A 23533-nucleotide genomic window follows, 5' to 3' on the forward strand; every position below is an offset into this window, starting at 1 on the left:
TTTTTTTTGAGAGATTTTTGGTCTTGTTGCCCAGGCTGGAGTACAGTAGCGTGATCTCAGGTCATGGCAACCTCCGCCTCCGGGGTTCAAGGGATTCTCCTGCCTCAGCCTCCCAAGTAGGTGGGATTATAGGTGCCCACCACCGGGCCCAGCTATTTTTTTTTTTTTTTGTATTTTTAATAGAGATGGGGTTTCACCATGTTGGCCAGGCTGGTCTTGAATTCCTGACCTCAGGTGATCCACCCACCTCGGCCTCCCAAAGTGTTGGGATTACAGGCGTGAGCCACTGCGCCCGGCCACACACTCTTAATTCTGCAAGAGGAGTGAGGCCATAGGATAGAAAAAGCCTGAACAGGAGAAGGGCTTCTTATGGGTCCATCAGTGAAAGAGGTGGTATGTCCATCCCTGAAAAGGGTGTTATTTATCCAGGCTCATGGAGGTTCCTGTCTGGGGTATAGAAGAACGAGACTGAAAAACAGAAGGGCTGGGTTGGCAGATCACTCACCTGAAATAGGCATCTCTCTTTCTGGTGGTCCTGACAGTCCTGTTCTGGGTGGCTTCATGGGGCTCCTTGCTCTTGTAGGATTTGCTGTCACAGACCCACAGGGATGATCTTCTGGGTCAAAGGTGTCCTGACCGCCTATGCCTTTGGGGCCCACCAAAGGAAGAAGCCCTGCCTGATGCTCACCAAGTCAACCCACATGCATATCTGCTCCAACAATTTTGTTTTTTTAAGAGAAAGGGTTTCAGTTGGGTGCAATGGTACATGCCTGTAAACCCAGCTACTTGGGAGGCTGAGGTGTGAGGATCACTTGAGCCCAAGGGTTCAAGATCAGCCTGGGCAACATAGCGAGACCCTGTCTCAAAAAGAAACAAACAAAAAGAGGCCAGGTGTGGTGGCTTACACCTGTAATCCCAGTACTTTGGAGGCCGAGGGCAGGGATCACTTGAGGTCAGGAGTTCCAGATTAGCCTAGTGAACATGGTGAAACCCCATCTCTACTAAAAATACAAAAATTAGCGGAATGTTGTGGCGGGGGCCTGTAGTCTCAGCTACTTGGGAAGCTGAGGCATGAGAATTGCTTGAACCCAGGAGGCAGAGGTTACAGTGAGCTGAGATTGTGCCACTACACTCCAGGCTGGACGAAAGTGAGACTCCACCTCAAAAAAAAAAAAAAAAAGAGACAAGGTCTCACAGATAACACAAATTATCTTGCCCAGGTTGGAGTGCAGTGCCTGTTTACACAGGTATGACCATAGTGGTACACTATAGCCTCAGACTCCTGGGCTCAAGTAGTGATCTTCTGGTGTGAGCCTCCTGAGTGCCCCTTTGCCTAGCTACTGCTCCAAAGATTTTATTTTGTTTTATTTATTTATGTATTTATTTATATATTTATTTTTTTAGCTGGAGTTTCGCTCATGTTGCACAGGCTGGAGTGCAACGGTGCGATCTCCACTCACCGCAACCTCTGCCTCCCAGGTTCAAGCGATTCTCCTGCCTCAGCCTCCCGAGTAGCTGGGATTACAGGCATGCACCACCATGCCCAGCTAATTTTGTATTTTTAATAGAGACAGGGTTTCTCCATGTTGTTCAGGCTGGTCTCCAACTCCCAACCTCAGGTGATCTGCCTCCCAAAGTGTTCAGATTACAGGTGTGAGCCACCACATCCGGCCAGGGGAAGGGTATTAATACTGGATTTGATTCCTAATGATTCCACTCTCCACTCCACCCTACTGATCTCCAGCTAGGGCACTATTCCAAGCAGAGCAAGGAGGTAAGGCCCCTCCCAGGTCCCAGAACCTCCTTCGCTGAACATCCCTTCCAGCACATCCATGGCATTCCTGAGCCTGTGAAGATCAGACAGGCTCCGGTTTCAGGTAGCAATCCCTCCCTATCCCAGTGCTTTATGCTTTGGGTGAGCCTGAAAAGTCCTTGCCTTTTTCATCTCCTCCAGGAAGCCCATGAGCCTCCAGAGGCAAAAAGGTATGGAGTAGGTTGGGGAAAGAGACAAGGGAAAGGCCTAAGGCCCGGAAGACAACAGGAAGAAAGCAGGACAGGAAAGAATACCTCGGTGATCTCCTGGGGAAGGCAGTCTGCACAGCCTTGGAGGACCTTGATAATCTTCTGGTGGTGTGAGGGGTTCTCTGCAAAGCAAATCTCCAGCTGCCGAAGGAACTTGCGGCTCTTCTCAAAAGCCTGCTGCTCCTCAAACTACCAGAGTGGAAAGTGGGCAAAAGAGGAGTCATGATACAGCTAGAGCAGGACTTGAGGGTTCTAAGGATAAGAACTAGTGGACTAGGACACAAGAGATGACAGAACCCTGGTTTAAAATTCTAGTTTACAACTATTGAGATCTAATTTAAAACCCTAACCTCCATCCACCTTGGGCCACTGGTGGGTAGCCACCCAAAGCAATTAAGATGTGAGCAACAGCTTCAAGAGATGTATATATTTCATGTTGTTTGCTGTATTATGGATGTGAAATGAGACACTCAAACTCATGTAATACTTTAGAGCTTACATTACGAAGAATTTTCAGGCCTTGCAAGGTGGCTCATGCCTGTAATCCCACCATTTGGGAGGCCAAAGCAGGAGGATCGTTTAAAGCCAGGAGTTTAGCCGGGTGCGGTGGCTCATGCCTGTAATCCCAGCACTTTGAGAGGCCAAGGTGGGTGGATCATGAGGTCAGTGGTTCGAGACCAGCCTGGCCAAGATGGTGAAACCCCGTCTCTACTAAAAAATACAAAAAAATTAGCTGGGCGCGGTGGCAGGTGCCTGTAATCCCAGCTACTCAGAAGGCTGGGGCAGGAGAATCACTTGAACCCGAGAGGTGGAGGTTGCAGTGAGCTGAGATCACACCACTGCACTCTAGCCTGGGTGACAGAGCAAGACTCCATCTCAAAAAAAAAAAAAAAAAAGCCAGGAGTTCAAGACCAGCGTGGGCAACATAGCGAGACTCCATCTCTACAAAAAAACTTAAAAATTAGGCAGATGTTGTGGTGTGCACCTGTAGCCCCAGCTATTTGGGAGGCTGAGTCAGGAGGATCCCTGGGGCCTGTGTTGCCCAGGCTGGTCTCAAACTCCTGGCTACAAGGGATTCTCCCACCTCAGCCTCCTGGAGTGCTGGGATTACAGGTGTGAGCCACGTGCATGGCCGAGACACTGTCTCTCTCTTTTTTTTTGGGGGGGGGGGGACAAGTTCTTGCCCTTGTCACCCAGGCTGGAGTGTTAGTGGAGGAATCATGGCTCAGTGAAGCCTCAATCTCCCAGGCTCAAGCAGTCTTCCCACCTCAGCCTCCCAAGTAGCTGGGACCACAGGTGTGCACCACCACACTCAGCTAATCTTTTTATTTTTTGTAGAGGCGGGGTTTTGCTATGTTGTCCAGGCTGGCCTTGAAACCCTGAGCTCAAGCCATCCATCGGCCTTGGCCTCCCAAAATGCTGGGATTTCAGGTGTGAGCCAAAATACCCGGCTGACATTATCTCTTTATTTTTATTTTGTTATTTTTTATTTATTTTTTTGACATGGAATCTCACTCTTGTTGCCCAGGCTGGGGTGCAGTGGCACGATCTTGGCTCACTGCAACCTCTGCCTCTAGGGTTCAAGCGATTCTTCTGCCTCAGCCCCCCTAATAGTTGGGATTACAGGCACATGCTACCATGCCCGGCTAATTTTTGTATTTTTAGTAGAGACGGGGTTTCACCATGTTGGCCAGGCTGATCTCGAACTCCTGACCTCAGGTAATCTACCCACCTTGGCCTCCCAAAATGCTGGGATTACAGGCGTGAGCCACCACGCCTGGCCTATTTTTTTATTTTTTATTTTGAGATGGAGCCTATCTCAGCTCACTGCAACCTCCGCCTCCTTGGTTCAAGCGATCCTCCTGCCTCAGCCCTGCTAGTAGCTGGGATTACAGGCACATGCCACCATACCTGGCTAATTTTTGAATTTTTAGTAGAGATGGGGTTCCGCCATGTTGGCCAGGCTGGTCTCAAACTTCTGACCTCAGGTTATCCACCCGCCTTGGCCTTTCAAAATGCTGGGATTACAGGCATGAGCCACCGCGCGTGGCCTATTTTTTTATTTTTTATTTTGAGATGGAGCTGATCTCGGCTCACCGCAACCTTTGCCTCCTGGGTTCAAGCAATTCTCCTGCCGCAGCCTCCCAAGTAGCTGGGATTACAGGCACCCACCACCATGCTGAGCTAATTATCTCTTTTTTTTTTTTTTTCTGAGACAGAGTCTCACTCTGTTGCCCAGCCTGGCGTGCAGTGGCACAATCTTGGCTCATTGCAACCTCCACTGGGTTCAAGTGATTCTTCTGCCTCAGCCTCCTGAGTAAATGGGATTACAGGCATGTGCCAACACACTCGGCTAATTTCGTATTTTTAGTAGAGATGGGGTTTCACCATGTTGGCCAAACTGGTCTTGAACTCCTGACCTCAAGTGATCCACCTGCCTCGGCCTCCCAAAGTCCTTGGATTACAGATGTGAGCCACCACACCCAGCCTTAATTATCTCTCTCTCTTTTTTTAATCCTGTTTACCTCTCTTCGGATGCTCTAGGGGCCCTCTGTAGCTGTAGCATTCAAAAGCCAGGGGTCAGGAAAGAGAATCTTGCAACTGAAATTTGATTTTGGGAAGCCTGTTGAATATGTTACAGGTTTTTGTTTTTGTTTGTTTTTGAGACAGAGTTTTGCTCTTGTTGCCCAGGCTGAAGTGCTGTGGCACAATCTCGGCTCACTGCACCCTCTGCCTTCCAGGCTCAATCTATTCTCCTGCCTCAGCCTCTTGAGTAGCTGGGATTACAGGCATGCGCCACCACGCCCAGCTAATTTTGTATTTTTAGTAGAGACAGGGTTTCCCCATGTTGGTCAGGCTGGTCTCCAACTCACGACCTCAGGTGATCCACCTGCCTCGGCCTCCCAAAGTGCTGGGATTATAGGCGTGAGCCACCATGACTGGCCCTTACAGGTTTAAAACTCTTGATATTATGAAATAGAATTTTAGATTACCATAAGTCATTTGTTTTGCCAAAAGGATGACTCAAAAATTTGAAAAAGCAAAATGCTTTGATTAGCCTTTACTATTACATAAAAATCCTGTTCAAGAGAGAAAGCCAAATTTTACCCTTGCATAAGTCTGCTATTAATGTTAACCCCAATTTTAATGAAATCCTATAGACAATTCTATTTAATCTTTTTTTTTTTTTTTTTTTTTGGCAGTGGCAAGATTTATTAAAGTGAAAGTAAAGTTTCCACATGGTGGAAGGGGACCTGAAAGGGCTGCCATTTTTGGCTTGGGTGTCTTATACTTATATCCCCTTATGACCCCTCCCCTTTTTCTTTTTCTGTCCTATAGAATTAGCTTATTTTCTATCCACTTGTGGGTAGGTGGGCATGATTGGTTAAAAACATCAGGCTGCAGCTAGAGCTTAAACTCCCTATATGATTGGTTGAAGGTTCAATCCCTTAGTTTGCAGCTATAACTCATTTTGGCTTAGGGGAAAGTTCCCTTAGGGAAGTCCCTATTGACCCAGGAAGTCCAGCCAACTTAGCCACTTAGTCCCTCAGTCCCTCCTCTCAAAAGGAAAGCCCAAGTGCCGTTGGGAAGTTGGGCAACAATCATTCTAGCTACTTCCTGCTGAGCTGGGGTGTAGAAGGGGCTCTGCAGTTGAGCCTTCCTCAGGAGGGGAGTCTTCAGTGTCATGGTGCAAGAACAGATTGGTGGGTCAGTCTAGGGGTCCTCGATAGCAGGTGCTAGTGGTGGTCATTTGGGGCTCCATCTGTAGAATCATTTGCAGTTTCATGGATTCTATTCTGGAAGAGACAAATTTTACAAGGAGGTTAAAAATGCAGGGTCCAGAGATAAGCAACATCACAATAGCCACCAAGGGTCCCAAGAAGGGGAGAAACCAGGGCATCCATTGGTTGACAATACTCCAAAGTCCTGTGTCTTGGAGCTCTTGTGCCTGGCACTGTATCTGGTCTCGAAGCTCCTTAACCTTTTTTGGTGACAATTCTGTATTGATTAACAAAATAGTAACACTCTTCTCCTAGAAAAAGACAGGTTCCACTTCTTTCAGCTGTTAATAAATTTAAGGCTTTCCAATTCTGGAGGGCTACTGCTGCTAAAGAGTTAAGCTAGCTTTGTAAGGTGACCAGTGAATCTGCAACTCGTTCCATGTCATCATTTAACTCTTGTGATAATTTGTAATATGTTGGGGTGATCAGACCCAACACCAGGCTGTGGGGGCTACGAAGTCCGGCGGAGTCAAAGGAATGAGATAAGTTAAGAGTGCAAGAAGTGGGACCAGGGGGTCAATGCTAGTATGGAGGCTGTGAAGGCCCTGAGCTCTTGAAGCCTGCACTATTTATTGGTGATCAAACAAAGAAGCAGGTGGTGAGGATGTGGGGGTTCAAAGAAAGCAGTGTATCAAGTGTGTGATCTACAGCTGTGACAGTTTAGCATTTTCTTTGAAGCATATGGAACATGTTCTGCTACTTGAGATAATGGGGAACATGTTCTTCTAGTTTAAGACACAATCGATCTATGAGCCTGGGAGGGCTAGAAACAAGGAGCCAGCAAATCTAGACACATTCCAGAGGCCACAAGGGGTTTTATGCCCTGAGCCCTGGATTCCATTCAAGCCATGAGGGGTTTTATGCCCTTGGCTTAGAGTGTGGTGCAGCAGGGCAGCCTTTCACCCTTTGGCACAGAGCTTGGTGTTCCAAAGGCCACAAGGGGTTTTAGACCCTGGACCCTGGACCCTGGACCTGTTCTAAGACTCTTTTACATTATATCAGACATGCAAGCCCTGCCTCAGCTTTTTCCCCAACACTCAGCTTTTTTCCCAACACTCAGCTTTTCCCCAACAGTAAGAGAATTGGGTGGAGGTGGTAATGCCTCCAATGCCAGTTCCTAGACCTCCTAGTATCCTAGCCCTGAAAATGAATGGCAGGATAGTCGAGGTATGCTGAGATGCTGGGTTTGACAGATCTTTAAAGGCAAATAAAAATTGCGAGTTAGGATGCAGAGGGATGCAGAAGAAAGCGTCCATAAGATCTAGGACTGTAAACCATTCTGCTTCCTCTGGTATCTGGGAGAGTAGAGTATAAGGATTAGGTACAACTGGATTGTTGGGAACAAGCCCCTCCAAATCTGGTCATAAACTGGCCCCAAAACTGGCCATAAACAAAATATCTGCAGCACTGTGACATGTTCATGATGGCAATAAAGCCCATGCTGGAAGGTTGTGGGTTTACCGGAATGAGGGCAAGGAATACCTGGCCCACCCAGGGCAGAAAACCACTTAAAGGCATTCTTAAGCCACAAACAATAGCATGAGTGATCTGTGCCTTAAGGACATGCTCCTGCTGCAGTTAACTAGCCCAACCTATTCCTTTAATTTGGCACATCCCTTCATTTCCCATAAGGGATACTTTTAGTTAATTTAATATCTGTAGAAACAATGCTGATGACTGGCTTGCTGTTAATAAATACGTGGGTAAATCTCTGTTCAGGGCTCTCAGCTCTGAAGGCTGTGAGACCCCTGATTTCCCACTTCACACCTCTATATTCTGTATGTGTGTCTTTAATTCCTCTAGTGCTGCTGGGTTAGGGTCTCCCTGACCAAGCTGGTCCTGGCACTGGATACAGGGGAACAACTGCCTCAATGATAATTCAGAGGTCTTTCACTAACCTCCACTGTCTGTTGGGTTTTTGTATGCCTAGAATAGGACTGTTGCCTGGACTGTTGCATGGCTTTACTAATCTCTGTGCTTGTAGGTCTTTGACAATCTTTTGTAACCCTTGTTGGGCTTCTGGTCAGAGGGGGTACTGCTTTGATAAGGAAAGAAAGTAGGATCCTTTAATTTAACTTGAACTGGACAAGCATTTTTTGCTTGTCCATACTGCTCTTGCTCTTCCTCTGCCCAGACTTCAGGATTAACTCCCTCCTTGAGTAGGGCAGCAAACAGGTATTCCTTCTCCTATATTCAAGTATATAATGGCCCCTGCTTTAGCTAATATGTCTCTCCCTAGTAAAGGAGTAGGGCTCTCAGGCATAATAAGAAAGGCATGTGAGAATAATAAGGTTCCCCAGTCACAATTTAGGGGGTGGGAGAAATACCTAGTGACTGAGTGTCCTAAGACCCCTTTGATGGTGAAAGACCTGGAGGATAGTTGTCTGGGACAGAAGAGTAAAACTGACAGGGCCACGCCATTGTCCAGGAGGAAGTTAGTTTCCTGGTCCTCACTGGTTAAGCTTACCTGGGGCTCTGTGATGGTGATGGCATTGGGCTGGTGCCTGCCCTGGGCACCCTCAGTCTTGTTGGACCATCTGGTTAGTGGCCTCTGGCCCAGAGGACCTTCACCCTAAGGGGCAGTGTGCCTTCCAGGGATCTCCCTGGCACAAGGGACATGGACAAGGGGGTGGCTTATTGTTGTTTGGGCAGTCCTTTTTGAAGTGACCCTGTAAGCCACACTGATAACAAGCCCGGTTAGGTGGGTTGCCTGCCCAGCCTTTCTTTCTTTCAGAGCCACTGAAGCTCGTCTGCCTGAGAGCCATGACTAAGGTGGCAGCCTTTTTCTTGTCTCGTCTGTCTCGTTCAGCCTGCTCCTCCTGATCCCTATTATAAAACAACAAATTTGCCAAATTTAATAGAGTTTCCAAATTTTGCTCGGAGCCCAGGGCAGACTTTTGAAGTTTTTTTCTAATGTCTGCAGCTGACTGAGTGATAAACTTATCCTTTAAAATTAGCTGGCCTTCAATAGAGTCAGGTGACAAAGAGGTATGTTTTCTTAATGCCTCCCTTAGCCTCTCTAAAAATGCCGTAGGGTTTTCTTCCTTTCCCTGTGTTATGGTGGACATAATTGAGTAATTCATTGGCTTTTTTCTGGTCTTTCTTAATCCCTCTAGTATACAAGTCAGTAAACGCCTGTGACTCCAGTCTCCATGCTCCGAATCGAGGTCCCAGTGGGGATCCACACTGGGAACTGCCTATTGGCCTGTGGTGAATTGTTCCCTTTCTTCTGATGTCGTTTTATCATTTACCTGGCTTAGGTACCAGAGATCCCCAAACTCCTGGGCCGCAGCTAAGGTGGCCTCTTTTTTGTTAGGAGTTAATGTTTGACCTAAAAACAACAGAATATCTCTCCATGCTAAATCAAAAGATTGTCCTAATCCCTGTAAGACGTCTACATATCCATCAGGTTATCTGAGAATTTTCCTAGGTCCAGTTTGATCTGTTTTAAGCCTGAGAGGGAAAAGGGGACATGTACTTGTGCTGAGCCAAAGTCTCCTCCTCCCACGGCTTGGAGGGGGCACAATCAAGGTCCATTGGTGCCTTTTGGTTCCTTGACTATCTTTTTGTCTGGTTCCTTTTGGGCTGATAAGGCCAAAGGAGAGTCCTTACTAGTGGGATGGGGAGCCATGGGGAGACCTGGGTATGGGGATAGGCTTTGAGGACCCCTGGTAGGATGTAAATTACATTTTTTACATAATTGTGGGTTATCCCTTAGTGAGAAAAAAAACCTGTAGATATGGCACTTCACTCCATTTGCCCTCTCGTTTACAAAAGAGATCTAGCTGTAGGATGGTATTATAGTTTACACTTCCCTCGGGTGGCCATGTCTCTCCTCTGGAAAGAGGATACTGTGGCCAGGTGGTGCTGCATAAAAATATAAGTCACTTCTTCAGCATTTGAGGGTCAAATTGGTCCCAATTATCCAGAATACACCTCAGGAGTGGCTTCACTTTTGAAGGAATGTCTCCCATCTGAAAGGAGAACATAGGAGTGCCCGCACCTCTAGTCATCCCCTAGTGAGCACTAGCCCTAGGGCATCCCTGTAGGGGTGGGTTGCCCCTACACACCTGTGGGTGTTTCTCGTAAGGTGGGACGAGAGATTTGGAAAAGAAAAAGACACAGAGACAAAGTATAGAGAAAGAAATAAGGGGACCCGGGGAACCAGCGTTCAGCATATGGAGGATCCCGCCAGCCTCTGAGTTCCCTTAGTATTTATTGATCATCTGTGGGTGTTTCTCAAAGAGGGGGATGTGTCAGGGTCACAAGACAATTGTGGGGAGAGGGTCAGCAGACAAACACGTGAACAAAGGTCTTGGCATCATAGACAATGTAAAGGATTAAGTGCTGTGCTTTTGGATATGCATACACATAAACATCTCAGTGCTTTACAAAGCAGTATTGCTGCCCGCAGGTCCCACCTCCAGCCCTAAGGCGGTTTTTCCCTATCTCAGTAGATGGAGCATACAATCGGGTTTTATACCGAGACATTCCATTGCCCAGGGACAGGCAGGAGACAGATGCCTTCCTCTTGTCTCAACTGCAAGAGGCATTCCTTCCTCTTATACTAATCCTCCTCAGCACAGACCCTTTACGGGTGTCGGGCTGGGGGACGGTCAGGTCTTTCCCTTCCCACGAGGCCATATTTCAGACTATCACATGGGGAGAAACCTTGGACAATACCTGGCTTTCCTAGGCAGAGGTCCCTGCGGCCTTCCGCAGTTTTTGTGTCCCTGGGTACTTGAGATTAGGGAGTGGTGATGACTCTTAAGGAGCATGCTGCCTTCAAGCATCTGTTTAACAAAGCACATCCTGCACCGCCCTTAATCCATTCAACCCTGAGTTGACACAGCACACGTTTCAGAGAGCACGGGGTTGGGGGTAAGGTCATAGATTAACAGAATCTCAAGGCAGAAGAATTTTTCTTAACACATAACAAAATGGAGTCTCCCATGTCTACTTCTTTCTACACAGACACAGTAACAATCTGATCTCTCTTGCTTTTCCCCACATTTCCCCCTTTTCTTTTCGACAAAACCGCCATCGTCATCATGGCCCGTTCTCGATGGTCGCTGTCTCTTCGGAGCTGTTGGGTACACCTGCAGACTAACAACAGACAAAACAGGCACACAAGGATTAATATGAGATTTATAATCGTAGTACTTCCAATGGTCTTAACCCAAGTGACAGGGTTAAGATTTGCGAGGCCATCAGCAACTCCTGCAATTGCCTCAGTTCCTGGCACCAAATTTAAATGGGCTTTTGATGCTTCGAAAATTTGTTCTTTTAATTTGGAAATGTCTAAAGTGAGATTATCTTCTCTTCCCTGTAGATGGCGTCTAACCATGTCCCAGTGATGCTCAGACTCATTATAAATTTGGGGTGTAATACAAAAATCTGACGTATTCCAGTCACATTGTAACTGGAAACGATGTTCTAAGCTCATGAGTCTGTCTCCCATCCAAATGACAGTTTGTCTAAGATCATTAATTTGATTTGCCAATTTTTGATCAATACTAGATTGTGAATTCCACAATCTTGTAGAATTCTTTTGCCAATCATTAACAAAGTTTACTGACTGAACAGAAGAGTGCAATGCAACTCCTGCTACAGCAGCCGTAGCTGTGACTGCAATTAATCCCATAATCACTGCAATTAAAGTAAAAATGAATCTTTTGGATCTATTTAAAACACCTTTTAATACTTCAGTCAAAATATGGACGGATGGTGAGGCCTCCCATGGTCGGTCCATGGACACAGGGATCCACACGCCCTCTCTTGCTCTCACCAGCAGAATACGGTGTTGCCAATTAAAAGTTGAATCAATGCAAGTAAGCAATCTACAATTTTCACAGGTTATAGTCTGGGAGTCTGGTTTAATAACTATATTTCCTACAACTAGCATATAAGGGGGCTTTACGCAACTTTGTAAAGGAACTGTTAGACTGGAATTTAGGTCGATAGTATAAAATGGCTTACAATCTCTTGTTTCTAAAGTTTGATTTCCAGACCAAATTCTAATGTGGTGTGAGGCCACAGTAAGCCTCCATAATTCTGGATGTTCAGGACCAGAAACAGGACTTACTATTTTTGGTCTTGGGGTAGAGATTCCTTTTTCTCCCCATTCCCAAGGGTAGAAAGACTGCAATTTTTTATGCTTATGTTTGTCTAAACTTTCTGTTAAGTCGCTATCAACAGCTGGACTCACTTGTGCACTTGGACACGACTGAGTTTGTCCTGAGCAATTGTGGTAGAATTGACCTCGAGGTGCCCAATCTATAATAGTTCCAAATTCATTGTTTTGTAATATCACCGCACTATTGGCCACACATTCTTCCCAAACTAAAACTTCTGTATTTTTTGATTCTTTGGGAATTTCCTTGGGGCAAGGTTTCCCTTTAGGTCTAAATTTTAATGATCTTTGATAAGAAAAGTCTTGTAAATAATTTACCCGTGGCCTGAGTGACATCCCGCTTACCATGTGATAAGTGAATCTACTGATGGGACTGACAGTAGGTACTTCTACCAACCAATTTTGGACTGCAGGCATTAAACATCCTGGTGCTCTCCCTAGGCAAATAGGAGGATAACGATACCCAATGGAAATATTTATCATCATCCCTTCTTCCTCAGGTTTGGCAGGGCAGCGATCATCTATGGGGCCAGGTACCCATACACTATCATTAACATATATTTCTATAGGATTATCCATCCATGTGACTGGTGTTACCATCTCCGTGGAGGCCCTTTTCTTTGCATCTCCAATGGGTTCATTGTAGAACTTCAAATGTCTAGTGGGTATCCAAACAGGAAGCTGATTTTCTCCTGGTGAAACACAAGCAAAACCTCTCCCCCACGTTATCACCTTCCCTATTTCCCATGTCTTATTTTTATTATCTTTCCACCAAATTAGTTTTCCTTCATGTGGGCTGTTCTTTTTACCAGTAAGATGTTGTTCTGCAGAAGTAGTAGTCTGATTTCTATAAATGTTTAAAAAATTTAAAGTATAGAGTGCTAGATTAAGTTGCATCTGAGGAGTGGTACACTCCTTACTGTCTCCCCCTTCTTTTTGTTTAACTAATTGAGTTTTGAGTGTTCTATTAGTTCTTTCAACTATGGCCTGTCCTTGGGAATTATAAGGAATTCCTGTTGTATGTGAAATTTTCCACTGACTTAAGAATTTTTGGAAAGCTTTACTACAATATCCTGGTCCATTGTCAGTTTTGATTTTTTCTGGAACTCCCATTACAGCAAAACAAGACAATAAATGTTTTTTAACATGGGAAGTACTTTCTCCTGTTTGGCAAGTTGCCCATATGAAATGTGAATAAGTATCAACTGTTACGTGAACATATGATAATCTTCCAAATGAAGGTACATGCGTGACATCCATTTGCCATAATGCATTAGGACACAGACCTCTGGGATTAACTCCTGCCTCTTGAGTGGGCAGGTGTAAGATTTGACACTGGGTGCAATGTTGTACAATATCTTTTGCCTGTTTCCATGTGACATCAAATTTGTTTTTTAATCCTGCTGCATTTACATGAGTCAAAGCATGAAGTTCTTGTGCTTTTATGAGTGCAGATGATACCAGTAAGTCAGCTTGTTCATTTGCTTTAGTCAAAGGCCCTGGTAAATTAGTGTGTGCTCGAATATGAGTAATATAAAATGGGAAATTTCTTTTTCTTACAGTTTGTTGTAATAAATTGAATAGCTGGTTTAACTGATCATCCATGCTATATTTAATTAGAGCTGTCTCAACATCCCTTGTAGCCTGTACTACATATGCAGAATCTGATATAATATTGATAGGTTGGTCAAAATCTTGTAACACTGTAATGACTGCAACCAACTCTGCTCTTTGAGCCGATTGATATGGAGTTTTGATTACTCGTTCTTTCGGTCCTGTGTAAGCTGCTTTTCCATTGCTGGAACCATCAGTAAATACTGTTAGAGCATTTTCTAAAGGTTCACGTCTGGTAATTTTAGGTAGAATCCAAGTAGTCAGTTTTAAGAACTGGAAGATCTTTGTTTTTGGGTAATGATTATCAATAATTCCCACAAAATTAGCAAGACCAATCTGCCATGCACCAGAATTGATAAAGGCTTGTCTAACTTGTTCCTTGGTTAAAGGGACAACTATTTTGTCTGGGTCATTTCCACATAATTTTATTATTCGTAATCTTGTCTGACCAATTAATGTAGCTATTTGATCCAAGTACAGTGTAAAAGTCTTAACTGTACTGTGAGGAAGGAATGACCACTCCACAAGATCAGTATTTTGAATAATGATACCTGTTGGAGAATGTGCAGTGGCAAAAATCAAAAGTTGGAGTGGGGCTAAGGGATCTATTCTATTTATTTGCGCTGACTGAATTTTTTCTTCCACTAATTTAATTTCTTTTGTTGCCTCTGGGGTTAATATTCTTTTACTATTTAAGTCTGAGTCTCCTCTTAAGATAGAGAACAAATTTGACATGGCATAAGTAGGAATGCCTAGAGTTGGCCGAATCCAATTAATATCTCCTAGTAATTTTTGAAAATCATTTAGTGTTTTTAATGTGTCTTTTCTTATTTCTATTTTTTGTTGCTTAATTTTTCTATTTTCTATCTGCATCCCTAAATAATGAAAAGGAGTAGAGGTTTGGATCTTATCAGATGCTATTGCCAGTCCAGCATTGGCAACCTCTGCTTGCAGAAATGTATAACAGTCAATTAATTTATCTCTCGTTTCTGCAGCACATAAAATATCATCAATATAATGAATAATATAACAGTCTGAAAACTTTTCTCTAACTGGTTGAAGAGCTCGACCTACAAAAGTCTGACAAATAGTTGGACTATTAAGCATTCCCTGAGGTAACACTTTCCACTGAAACCTGGTGGCTGGTTCTTTATTATTTATGGCTGGTATAGTAAAGGCAAATTTTTCGCAATCCTGCTCTGCCAGAGGGATGGTAAAAAAGCAATCCTTTAGATCAATTATAATTAAAGGCCAATCTTTTGGGATCATGGCTGGAGAGGGCAACCCAGGTTGGAGAGGCCCCATGGGTTGAATTACGGCGTTTACAGCCCTTAAGTCAGTTAACATACGCCATTTGCCTGATTTCTTCTGAATTACAAACACAGGAGAATTCCAAGGTGAGAACGAAGGCTCAATGTGACCCTTTTCTAACTGTTCATTTGCTAATAAATGTAAAGCCTCCAGTTTTTGTTTTGGTAGCGGCCACTGATTTACCCACACCGGTTTTTCTGTTTTCCAAGTTAGTGGTATGGGTTTAGGAGGCTCTACAGTGGCCGCCCCTAAAAAGGATAACCTATTCCTTCTCTTTCTTGATTTATTTTAGCCTCAACTGGAACTTTAATGCCATCTTCATTTTTCCCTAGTCCCTTTCCTGGTATATATCCCATCTTGGTCATGATTTTTTGACTCGTGGGGCTATATAATGGGGCAGGCATGGTGATTTCCGCACCCCATTGTTGTAATAAATCTCGACCCCACAGATTAAGAGGAATTGAAGTAATCATTGGCTGAACAGTACTTTCTTGATTATCTGGCCCTAAGCAATGTAAAATCTCAGTACTTTGATACACTTCTGAGGCTGTGCCTATGCCGACAAGTCCTGTAACAGCCTTTTGTTTAGGCCAATTTTTTGGCCACTGATTTAAAGCAATGATAGAGACATCTGCTCCAGTGTCTACCAACCCTTCAAACTGTTTTCCTTGAATAATGGCCTTACACACAGGTCTGTTCTCTGAGACCTGACTTGCCCAATATGCAGCCTTTCCTGTTGGATCAGTGCTTCCAAGCCCTCCTATTCTTTTTATTTCACTATTTCCACCCTTAATATATGGCAGGAGTAATAATTGAGCAATCCTGTCTCCTGGACTGGCACTCCAAGGAATTGAAGAGCTAATAACCAACTGAATTTCGCCTTTATAGTCTGAATCAACCACACTAGTATGAATTTGAACTCCTTTTAGATTTAGACTTGATCTTCCCAAGATTAGTCCTACAGTCCCCTCAGGCAGTGGGCCATATACCCCTGTAGGGATTTTTTGTGGGGGCTCCCCTGGAAGCAGAGAGACTGCTTGTATAGTATATAAATCTACTGCTGCACTGCCGCTTGTGGCGGGGGACAATTGTTGTATTGTGGTAACTGGCTTATTCCCTGAAACACTTGGGACAGTGGGGGTTGTTGTTCCTGAAAACCCTGAGGAACAAATGGCTGAATTGGGAATGCCCCAGTTTGTTGTGGGGCCTGAGGCTGGCCCCTTTGCTCATTTCCCGACAATGGTTGCCCATTTTTATCAAATTTAGAACGACATTGACTAGCCCAATGTTTTCCTTTTTTACATCTTGGACATAAGTCAGGTGGCTCTCTACCTGTTGTAGTTGCTTGAATAGTTATATTCTGTTTATTTAAGACTGGACAATTCTTTTTTAAGTGACCAATTTGACCACAATTATAACATTTTCCTCCAAATGTTCTAACTTGTCCTCCTAAAACAACTCCTGTTATTGCTTGAGCCATAAGCATAGCTTTATGCATAGCTCCTCCGATTCCATCACAGGCTTTTACATATTCTGAGATTACATCTGATCCTGCAGGAACCTTTCCTTTTAATGGCTTAATGGCTGATTGACACTCAGGATTGGCGTTTTCATATGCCATCAACTCCACTATGACCTTACGGGCTTTTTCATCGGCAATTGACTTTTGAGCAACATCTTGGAGCCTTGCCACAAAATCAGGATAGGGCTCTTTTGAACCTTGTCTTACTGTATTAAATGAGGGGCAGGTACTTCCTGGGTCTTGGATTTTTTCCCAGGCTCTAAGGCAGATAGCTCTAACTTGCTCAATGGCCTCATTTTGCATTAATGCTTGTTGACTAATAGTACTCCAATTTTGACCTATTCCTAATAGTTGATCTGCATCTATGTTAACTGGAGGATTGGCAGCCCTATTTCTTCGGACCTGTTCTTGTACCCCATCAATCCACCAAGTCTTAAATTGTAAAAATTGAGAGGGTGAGAGAGACGATTTTGCCAGAATCTCCCAATCATAAGGAATGAGTCTATGTCCATGAGCAATGGAATCTAATAATGTCCTCATATAAGGGGAGTTGGGTCCATACTGTTTTACTCCCTCTTTCATATCTTTTAGCATTTTTATCGAAAAAGACTTGTATCTGGCCTCAACTGTGGGAGGCTCTCCCTCTTGGGCTCCTTCTCCAGGTGGCATCGGTTCTAACGTTACTGGGAATTGCCATGCCTCAGTATCTCCTTCCTTTCTTGATTTATCAATAATTTCATGTAATTCACTACCCTGTCTACTAGGTGGTGCCGTAGGATTAAGTCTCCTAGTGGGCGGCTGAGGGTATGGCGCCCTGCCCTGTGGTGCTGGGGGCATTCCTGGATATCCATACTGACTTTCTGGGGGTGGCCGATACTGAAGTTCAGCCGGAGGCCAGTATTGATAGGCTACTGGCGGTTGGGTCTTATTTTCTTTAACCTGCTTTTGAGGTTGTAATGTTACGGGCACCTGACCTGCTGGAAGATGACTTGTGCCTCATGGTTTAGACTCTGATGGCCCCACTAATTCTGGACCTTTTCCTTCTAATTTTAACGTTTCAGGATATATCACCTCCTGTAATTGATTATAGTCAACATTTTGCGTTGACTGAGCCATTACCGGCTCTGCTACATATTCGCAATGTAAACCTTCCGTTTCTTTCTGGGATTTTTTCCTTGTGTTTTCATTACAATCTATTATACAGCTTCCAAGGGCATCAGAAACTGAAACGCTATCTTTTTCTGTTTGAAATGGTTCTAAAGCTGCTTTAATAATGGCCCAATCATTCCATACTGTAAGTGGAATGATATTACCCTTCCTACCTGCTTGTTTTAGTTCCTTACCAATTCTTTTCCAATCTTTTAGATCTAAAGTTCCTTGTTCTGGAAACCATGGGCAAAATTGTTCTATTATTTGAAATAGCTTGATTAGATTTTTTGTAGATACTTTAACTCCCCCTCTTTTTAAAAGAATTTTAATAAAGCTGAGATAAGAGGCATATTTACTTTTAATTTTACTTTTAGTTTGCCCCATTATCACCCTAGCTTCTTCCGAGCGCACAAGCTTACCGTAAGGCTGACTGTAGATGTACTCGGGATCTCTCGTCGACTTGTCCTCAATGACCACGCTCGAGCGTACCTTCACCCTAGAGAAAAGCCTCCACGTTGGGCACCAGATGTAGGGGTGGGTTGCCCCTACACACCTGTGGGTGTTTCTCGTAAGGTGGGACGAGAGATTTGGAAAAGAAAAAGACACAGAGACAAAGTATAGAGAAAGAAATAAGGGGACCCGGGGAACCAGCGTTCAGCATATGGAGGATCCCGCCAGCCTCTGAGTTCCCTTAGTATTTATTGATCATCTGTGGGTGTTTCTCAAAGAGGGGGATGTGTCAGGGTCACAAGACAATTGTGGGGAGAGGGTCAGCAGACAAACACGTGAACAAAGGTCTTGGCATCATAGACAATGTAAAGGATTAAGTGCTGTGCTTTTGGATATGCATACACATAAACATCTCAGTGCTTTACAAAGCAGTATTGCTGCCCGCAGGTCCCACCTCCAGCCCTAAGGCGGTTTTTCCCTATCTCAGTAGATGGAGCATACAATCGGGTTTTATACCGAGACATTCCATTGCCCAGGGACAGGCAGGAGACAGATGCCTTCCTCTTGTCTCAACTGCAAGAGGCATTCCTTCCTCTTATACTAATCCTCCTCAGCACAGACCCTTTACGGGTGTCGGGCTGGGGGACAGTCAGGTCTTTCCCTTCCCACGAGGCCATATTTCAGACTATCACATGGGGAGAAACCTTGGACAATACCTGGCTTTCCTAGGCAGAGGTCCCTGCGGCCTTCCGCAGTTTTTGTGTCCCTGGGTACTTGAGATTAGGGAGTGGTGATGACTCTTAAGGAGCATGCTGCCTTCAAGCATCTGTTTAACAAAGCACATCCTGCACCGCCCTTAATCCATTCAACCCTGAGTTGACACAGCACACGTTTCAGAGAGCACGGGGTTGGGGGTAAGGTCATAGATTAACAGAATCTCAAGGCAGAAGAATTTTTCTTAGCACATAACAAAATGGAGTCTCCCATGTCTACTTCTTTCTACACAGACACAGTAACAATCTGATCTCTCTTGCTTTTCCCCACACATCCCCTATGGTTCTAGTGTCCTTTACTTTCCAGGGTGCTCAATCACCCATGGAACCCTGCTTAATGAATTTAATTGTGCTTACCGACATAGCAGTTTTGCCTGAATTTGTTTCCTGTCCTTTTTTAGCCACAAAGAAAGAGGTCCTGGGCTGCTGGATTTTAGTGGCTCCTTAACAGCATGCCCACAATTGCCTTTGCATCTGCAAGTGGGTCTTAGGTTTGGGGTGTATTTTGAGTTTAGAGACCAGGCACCAGTTAGCATATTTCTGGGCTTGGAGCTGTCCCAGCAAGATAAATTCCTTGAAAATGGCACTATAGCACAACAGTTTTAGGGAAGGCAGCGGCAAATTGGAGGACCAAAGTTGGAACTGTGCTTTTCATACCTGAATCTTCTGTCCCCTATTTGCCCTCCTAAGAATATTCATTGACCTTTGGACTTGAATCAGGGGACCTATTGTCTATTATATTGTTTTTGGCCCATAAGTATGACCACTTCAAGTGGAGAAGTTCTACAGTTCTAATCGCTGATTCCAGACAGGAAAGGTGGTAATTAAAGGAGTCTCTACAATCTGGAGTAAGTTTAGGGCAACAAAAGGAAAAATGTCTTAGGCCTTCTATCAGCCACTGACATGCCTTTTGATGTTCCAGATAGTACCTAGGGTACAGGTTATGAGGGACAGGTCCCGTGTAAGTATACTGATACCCATTTGCATAAGAATAAGCCTGGGGACACCATGGGCAAAGGTCTTTGGATTACCTCCCCACTTGACTTAGGCTCCTAGCCAAAAGATTCTTAGACTTGATCTAGGAAAGATCCTAGAGGATAGGACCTCAAGAAAGTCTTCTCTGAGGACGTTAGGACCCAGGAGGCATGGGTCAGAAAAGACATGAAATGCACGCATGGGCAGCTGCAGTGTAGAGGCTTCTCGCTGTGCCATGATCTCAACTGGGTCAGTGCTGGGAGTTCAGGACGACAGTTTTCCGCCTCTAGCCAGCCCTCAGCTTTTCCCAGGAAAGGTAGAGAAAGGTGGACCTGGTTCCAGGCAAACCAACACTCCCAGCCCAGAGGGCCGGGGGTTGTTAGAGAGCCCTTTCCCAGAGAGCCTCACACCTGTGTCTTAAGCCTGGCGGCTGCGCTTGTCACTTTTTTTTTTTTTTTTGAGATGGAGTCTTGCTCTGTTGCCCAGGCTGGAGTGCAGTGGTGCAATCTCAGCTCACTGCAAGCTCTGCCTCCTGGGTTCCCGCCAATCTCCTGCCTCAGCTTCCCGAGTACCTGGGACTACAGGTGCCCACCACCATGCCTGGCTAATATTTTTTGTATTTTTAGTAGAGGTGGGGTTTCACTGTGTTAGCCAGGATGATCTCAATCTCCTGACCTCGTGATCCACCCGCCTTGGCCTCCCAAAGTGCTGCAGTTACAGGTGTGAGCCACTGCACCCGGCCGCTTGTCACATTTAAATGGCTGACAGGTGCCTGGTGTTTTCTTCCAATTTCTAATGAGAAGATAGAACAGAATAGCAAGCAAGAGGGGTTCAATGTTACTCACTGCTTTGGAGAAATCCTGAATGTGTCCCCAGAAATGAGACGAGAAGTCTTCTCCTGATCAAAGGTCTTTTCTTGATTGAAGGGTTCGTGGTTTCACAGGCTTCAAGGAAAGAAGCCATGGACCTCAGTGGTGAGTGTTACAGCTCCATTAGAGAAACATGCAGACCCAAAGAGTGTGCGGTGGCAAGATTTATTAAAGCAAAAGTGAAAGTAAAGTGAAAGCGAAAGTAAAGCTTCCATATGGTGGAAGGGAACCCAGAAGGGTTGCCCAATCCTTTTTTTTTTTGAGATGGAGTCTCGCTGTGTCGCCCAGGCTGGAGTGCAGTGGCGCAATCTCGGCTCACTGCAAGCTGCGCCTCCTGGGTTCACGCCATTCTCCAGCCTCAGCCTCCCGAGTAGCTGGGATTACAGGCGCCTGCCACCACGCCCGGCTAATTTTTTGTATTTTTAGTAGAGATGGGGTCTCACTGTGTTAACCAGGATGGTCTCGATCTCCTGACCTCGTGATCCACCCGCCTTGGCCTTCCAAAGTGCTGGGATTACAGGCATGAGCCACTGCACCCGGCCAAGGGTTGCCCAATTCTATTCAATCTTAATCAGTTTGACCATGAGGTGAGATTTTTATGAACCTTTCATAACCGTTTACAAATCTTGCTAAAGAGGAGTAGCATCTTAAGAAAACCTTGTTGTGCTTTTCTTTTTTTCTTTTTTTTTTTTTTTTGAGATGGAGTTTCACTCTTGCTGCCCAGGCTGGAGTGCAATGGCGTGATCTAGGCTGACCACAACCTCTGCCTCCAGGGTTAAAGCGATTCTCCTGCCTCAGCCTCCCAAGTAGCTGGGATTACAGGCATGTGCAATGACGCCCAGCTAATTTTTTGTATTTTTAGTAGAGATGGGGTTTCTCCATGTTGGTCAGGCTGCTCTTGAACTCCCAACCTCAGGTGATCCACCCTCCTTGACCTCCCAAAGTGCTGGGATTACAGGCGTGAGCCACCATGCCTGGCCATGTGCTTTTATTTCAGTGCTCCATTTTCAGAAAAACCCTTTTGAATTTAGTCAATATGTTCACAGTTTCCTTTTGGAAGATTAATTTTTACAGTCTTTCCACATTTGCTTAAACTTTTTGTTTTATTTTATCTAATTTAAGACAATCCTGTATCCCTAGGCAAAATGTGCATTTCCATGCCTTCTTATAATCTTTGACTAAAAAGATACTTTACTGTTCTTGCACACCTTGCATGTAAATCTATTTTCAGTAGTCTAAATTACATGTTATAACAGTAACTCTTAGCAATTTTCAACTTCAATGTAAAACCTGGTAAAGTTGTTTTAATTATGTGCTAGGTGCAGATAAAGTCTGACTCCTTCCAGCATAGTTAGGGGAATGGTTACTTCCATATGTCCCCAGGTCTTACCAATTGTGAAGCAGGCAAGTTTAAAGGCCAAAGAAGAAGTTTACAACCTTAAAACATTCAGCAAACCTAGTATCTGACCTGCATAATTTAGACCATATATTTACATCTTGAAGACATCTACACTTTACCAATAATTTTTAAGGCTGTTTTTATTTTTCAAAAATTAAAGTCACATGAACTGAAAGGTACCACAACCTTCATTATCCCTTTAAAAAATATTTAATCCAAGCACTTACCCTTCAAGTCAATTAATTAGAGGTCTTTTTTAACAGACATCACACACATAACCCATATAGGACTATATAGATAGAAGAAGATCCAGCAGCTCAGGATGGAGCTATTTAGGAATAGGGCCAGAAAAGCATGTAGTTTTTGGAGCCTAATAAACATGCACAGTTGGAAGACAAAAACAGATTTTAAAAGGGATTCCAGGGATTCCATGTGGAAAACAGATTTTTTTCCTAAATGGGATTTCTGGCATCTTGTCTGTTTTCCCAAGGAGTCCCAGGCCACCAGAAGTCATCCTAGGGCCTTTCATCCATGCACCAAGAATGGCAAGACAGAGTGGGAAAAAGTAATTCAGTTGCCAGAGAAAAAAAGCCTTTTCCAGAAAAACAAGATTTATGGAGGGAAAAACATAAAGGCCTCTTGAATATACCTATAGGTTGGATACTCAGTTTCAATTAAGCCAAGTGCTCTTCATGAAAATTGTTTTTCATTAATCAAAACTTTACAGAGAATATAAACAGTGATCCTTATCATTTCTTTTACTGGTTTGTACCACTACCTGTTCACAATCATGTTCAGGTTCCCCAATTTCCTCTGGGAGAAAGTGGCTGGGTTTAGGCAAGGGCAGGTTTTCAACTGGACTGCAGATTCCTCTAGCAGCAAAGCTTGATTTTTGATGAGGCGATTTTTCTGTTAGCCAGAGACTTCCCTTAGAGGACAGCAGTCCTGCTATACTGTGTGGGGTGCAAACAGTTAAGTTATTCCCCATGTTTAACCCAGTGGTTTCTGCCACCAGCAAAGCCACTGCTGCAACTGCTTGGAGGCAGGCTGGCCATCCTTTAGCCACGAGGCGAAGTTCCTTGCTTAGGTAACCTACTGGCTGTTGAGTTGGACCTTTAGCCTTAGTTAAAACTCCCAGGGCCAGCCAGGCATGGTGGCTCACTCCTGTAATCCCAGCACTTTGGAAGGCCAAAGCGGGTGGATCACAAGGTCAGGAGATCGAGACCATCCTGGCTAACACAGTGAAACCCCGTCTCTACTAAAAATACAAAAAATTAGCTGGGCATGGTGGCGGGTGCCTGTTGTCCTGGCTACTCGGGAGGCTGAGGCAGGAGAATGGCGTGAACCCAGGAGGTGGAGCTTGCATTGAGCCGAGATCGTGCCACTGCACTCCAGCCTGGACGACAGAGCGAGACTATGTCTCAAAAAAAAAAAAAAAAAAAAAAAAAAGACACACACACAAAAAAACAAAAACAAAAAAACTCCCAGGGCCATTCCCTTCCTTTGTGATACATAGAAACTAAATGCCCTCCCT

At 44.6% G+C, this 23533-nt stretch overlaps 1 pseudogene, besides 3 other annotated features; it reads right to left on the reverse strand.

Annotated features, from left to right (window-relative positions):
- Nucleotides 1–23533, reverse strand: part of LOC100419798 (gon-4 like pseudogene) — a 31110-nt pseudogene that overhangs the window by 1248 nt on the left and 6329 nt on the right.
- Nucleotides 18343–19102: an enhancer, noted in NCBI's record as "NANOG-H3K27ac hESC enhancer chr1:155604951-155605710 (GRCh37/hg19 assembly coordinates)". NCBI's record gives its function as "activates a minimal SCP1, AML or CMV promoter by ChIP-STARR-seq in primed H9 embryonic stem cells {active_cell/tissue: H9 hESC(primed)}" and the evidence as "EXISTENCE:reporter gene assay evidence [ECO:0000049][PMID:30033119]".
- Nucleotides 19103–19863: an enhancer, noted in NCBI's record as "NANOG-H3K27ac-H3K4me1 hESC enhancer chr1:155605711-155606471 (GRCh37/hg19 assembly coordinates)". NCBI's record gives its function as "activates a minimal SCP1, AML or CMV promoter by ChIP-STARR-seq in naive H9 embryonic stem cells {active_cell/tissue: H9 hESC(naive)}" and the evidence as "EXISTENCE:reporter gene assay evidence [ECO:0000049][PMID:30033119]".
- Nucleotides 19864–20623: an enhancer, noted in NCBI's record as "H3K27ac-H3K4me1 hESC enhancer chr1:155606472-155607231 (GRCh37/hg19 assembly coordinates)". NCBI's record gives its function as "activates a minimal SCP1, AML or CMV promoter by ChIP-STARR-seq in primed H9 embryonic stem cells {active_cell/tissue: H9 hESC(primed)}" and the evidence as "EXISTENCE:reporter gene assay evidence [ECO:0000049][PMID:30033119]".

Source organism: Homo sapiens, chromosome 1, assembly GCF_000001405.40.
Source record: "Homo sapiens chromosome 1, GRCh38.p14 Primary Assembly".
NCBI lineage: Eukaryota > Metazoa > Chordata > Mammalia > Primates > Hominidae > Homo > Homo sapiens.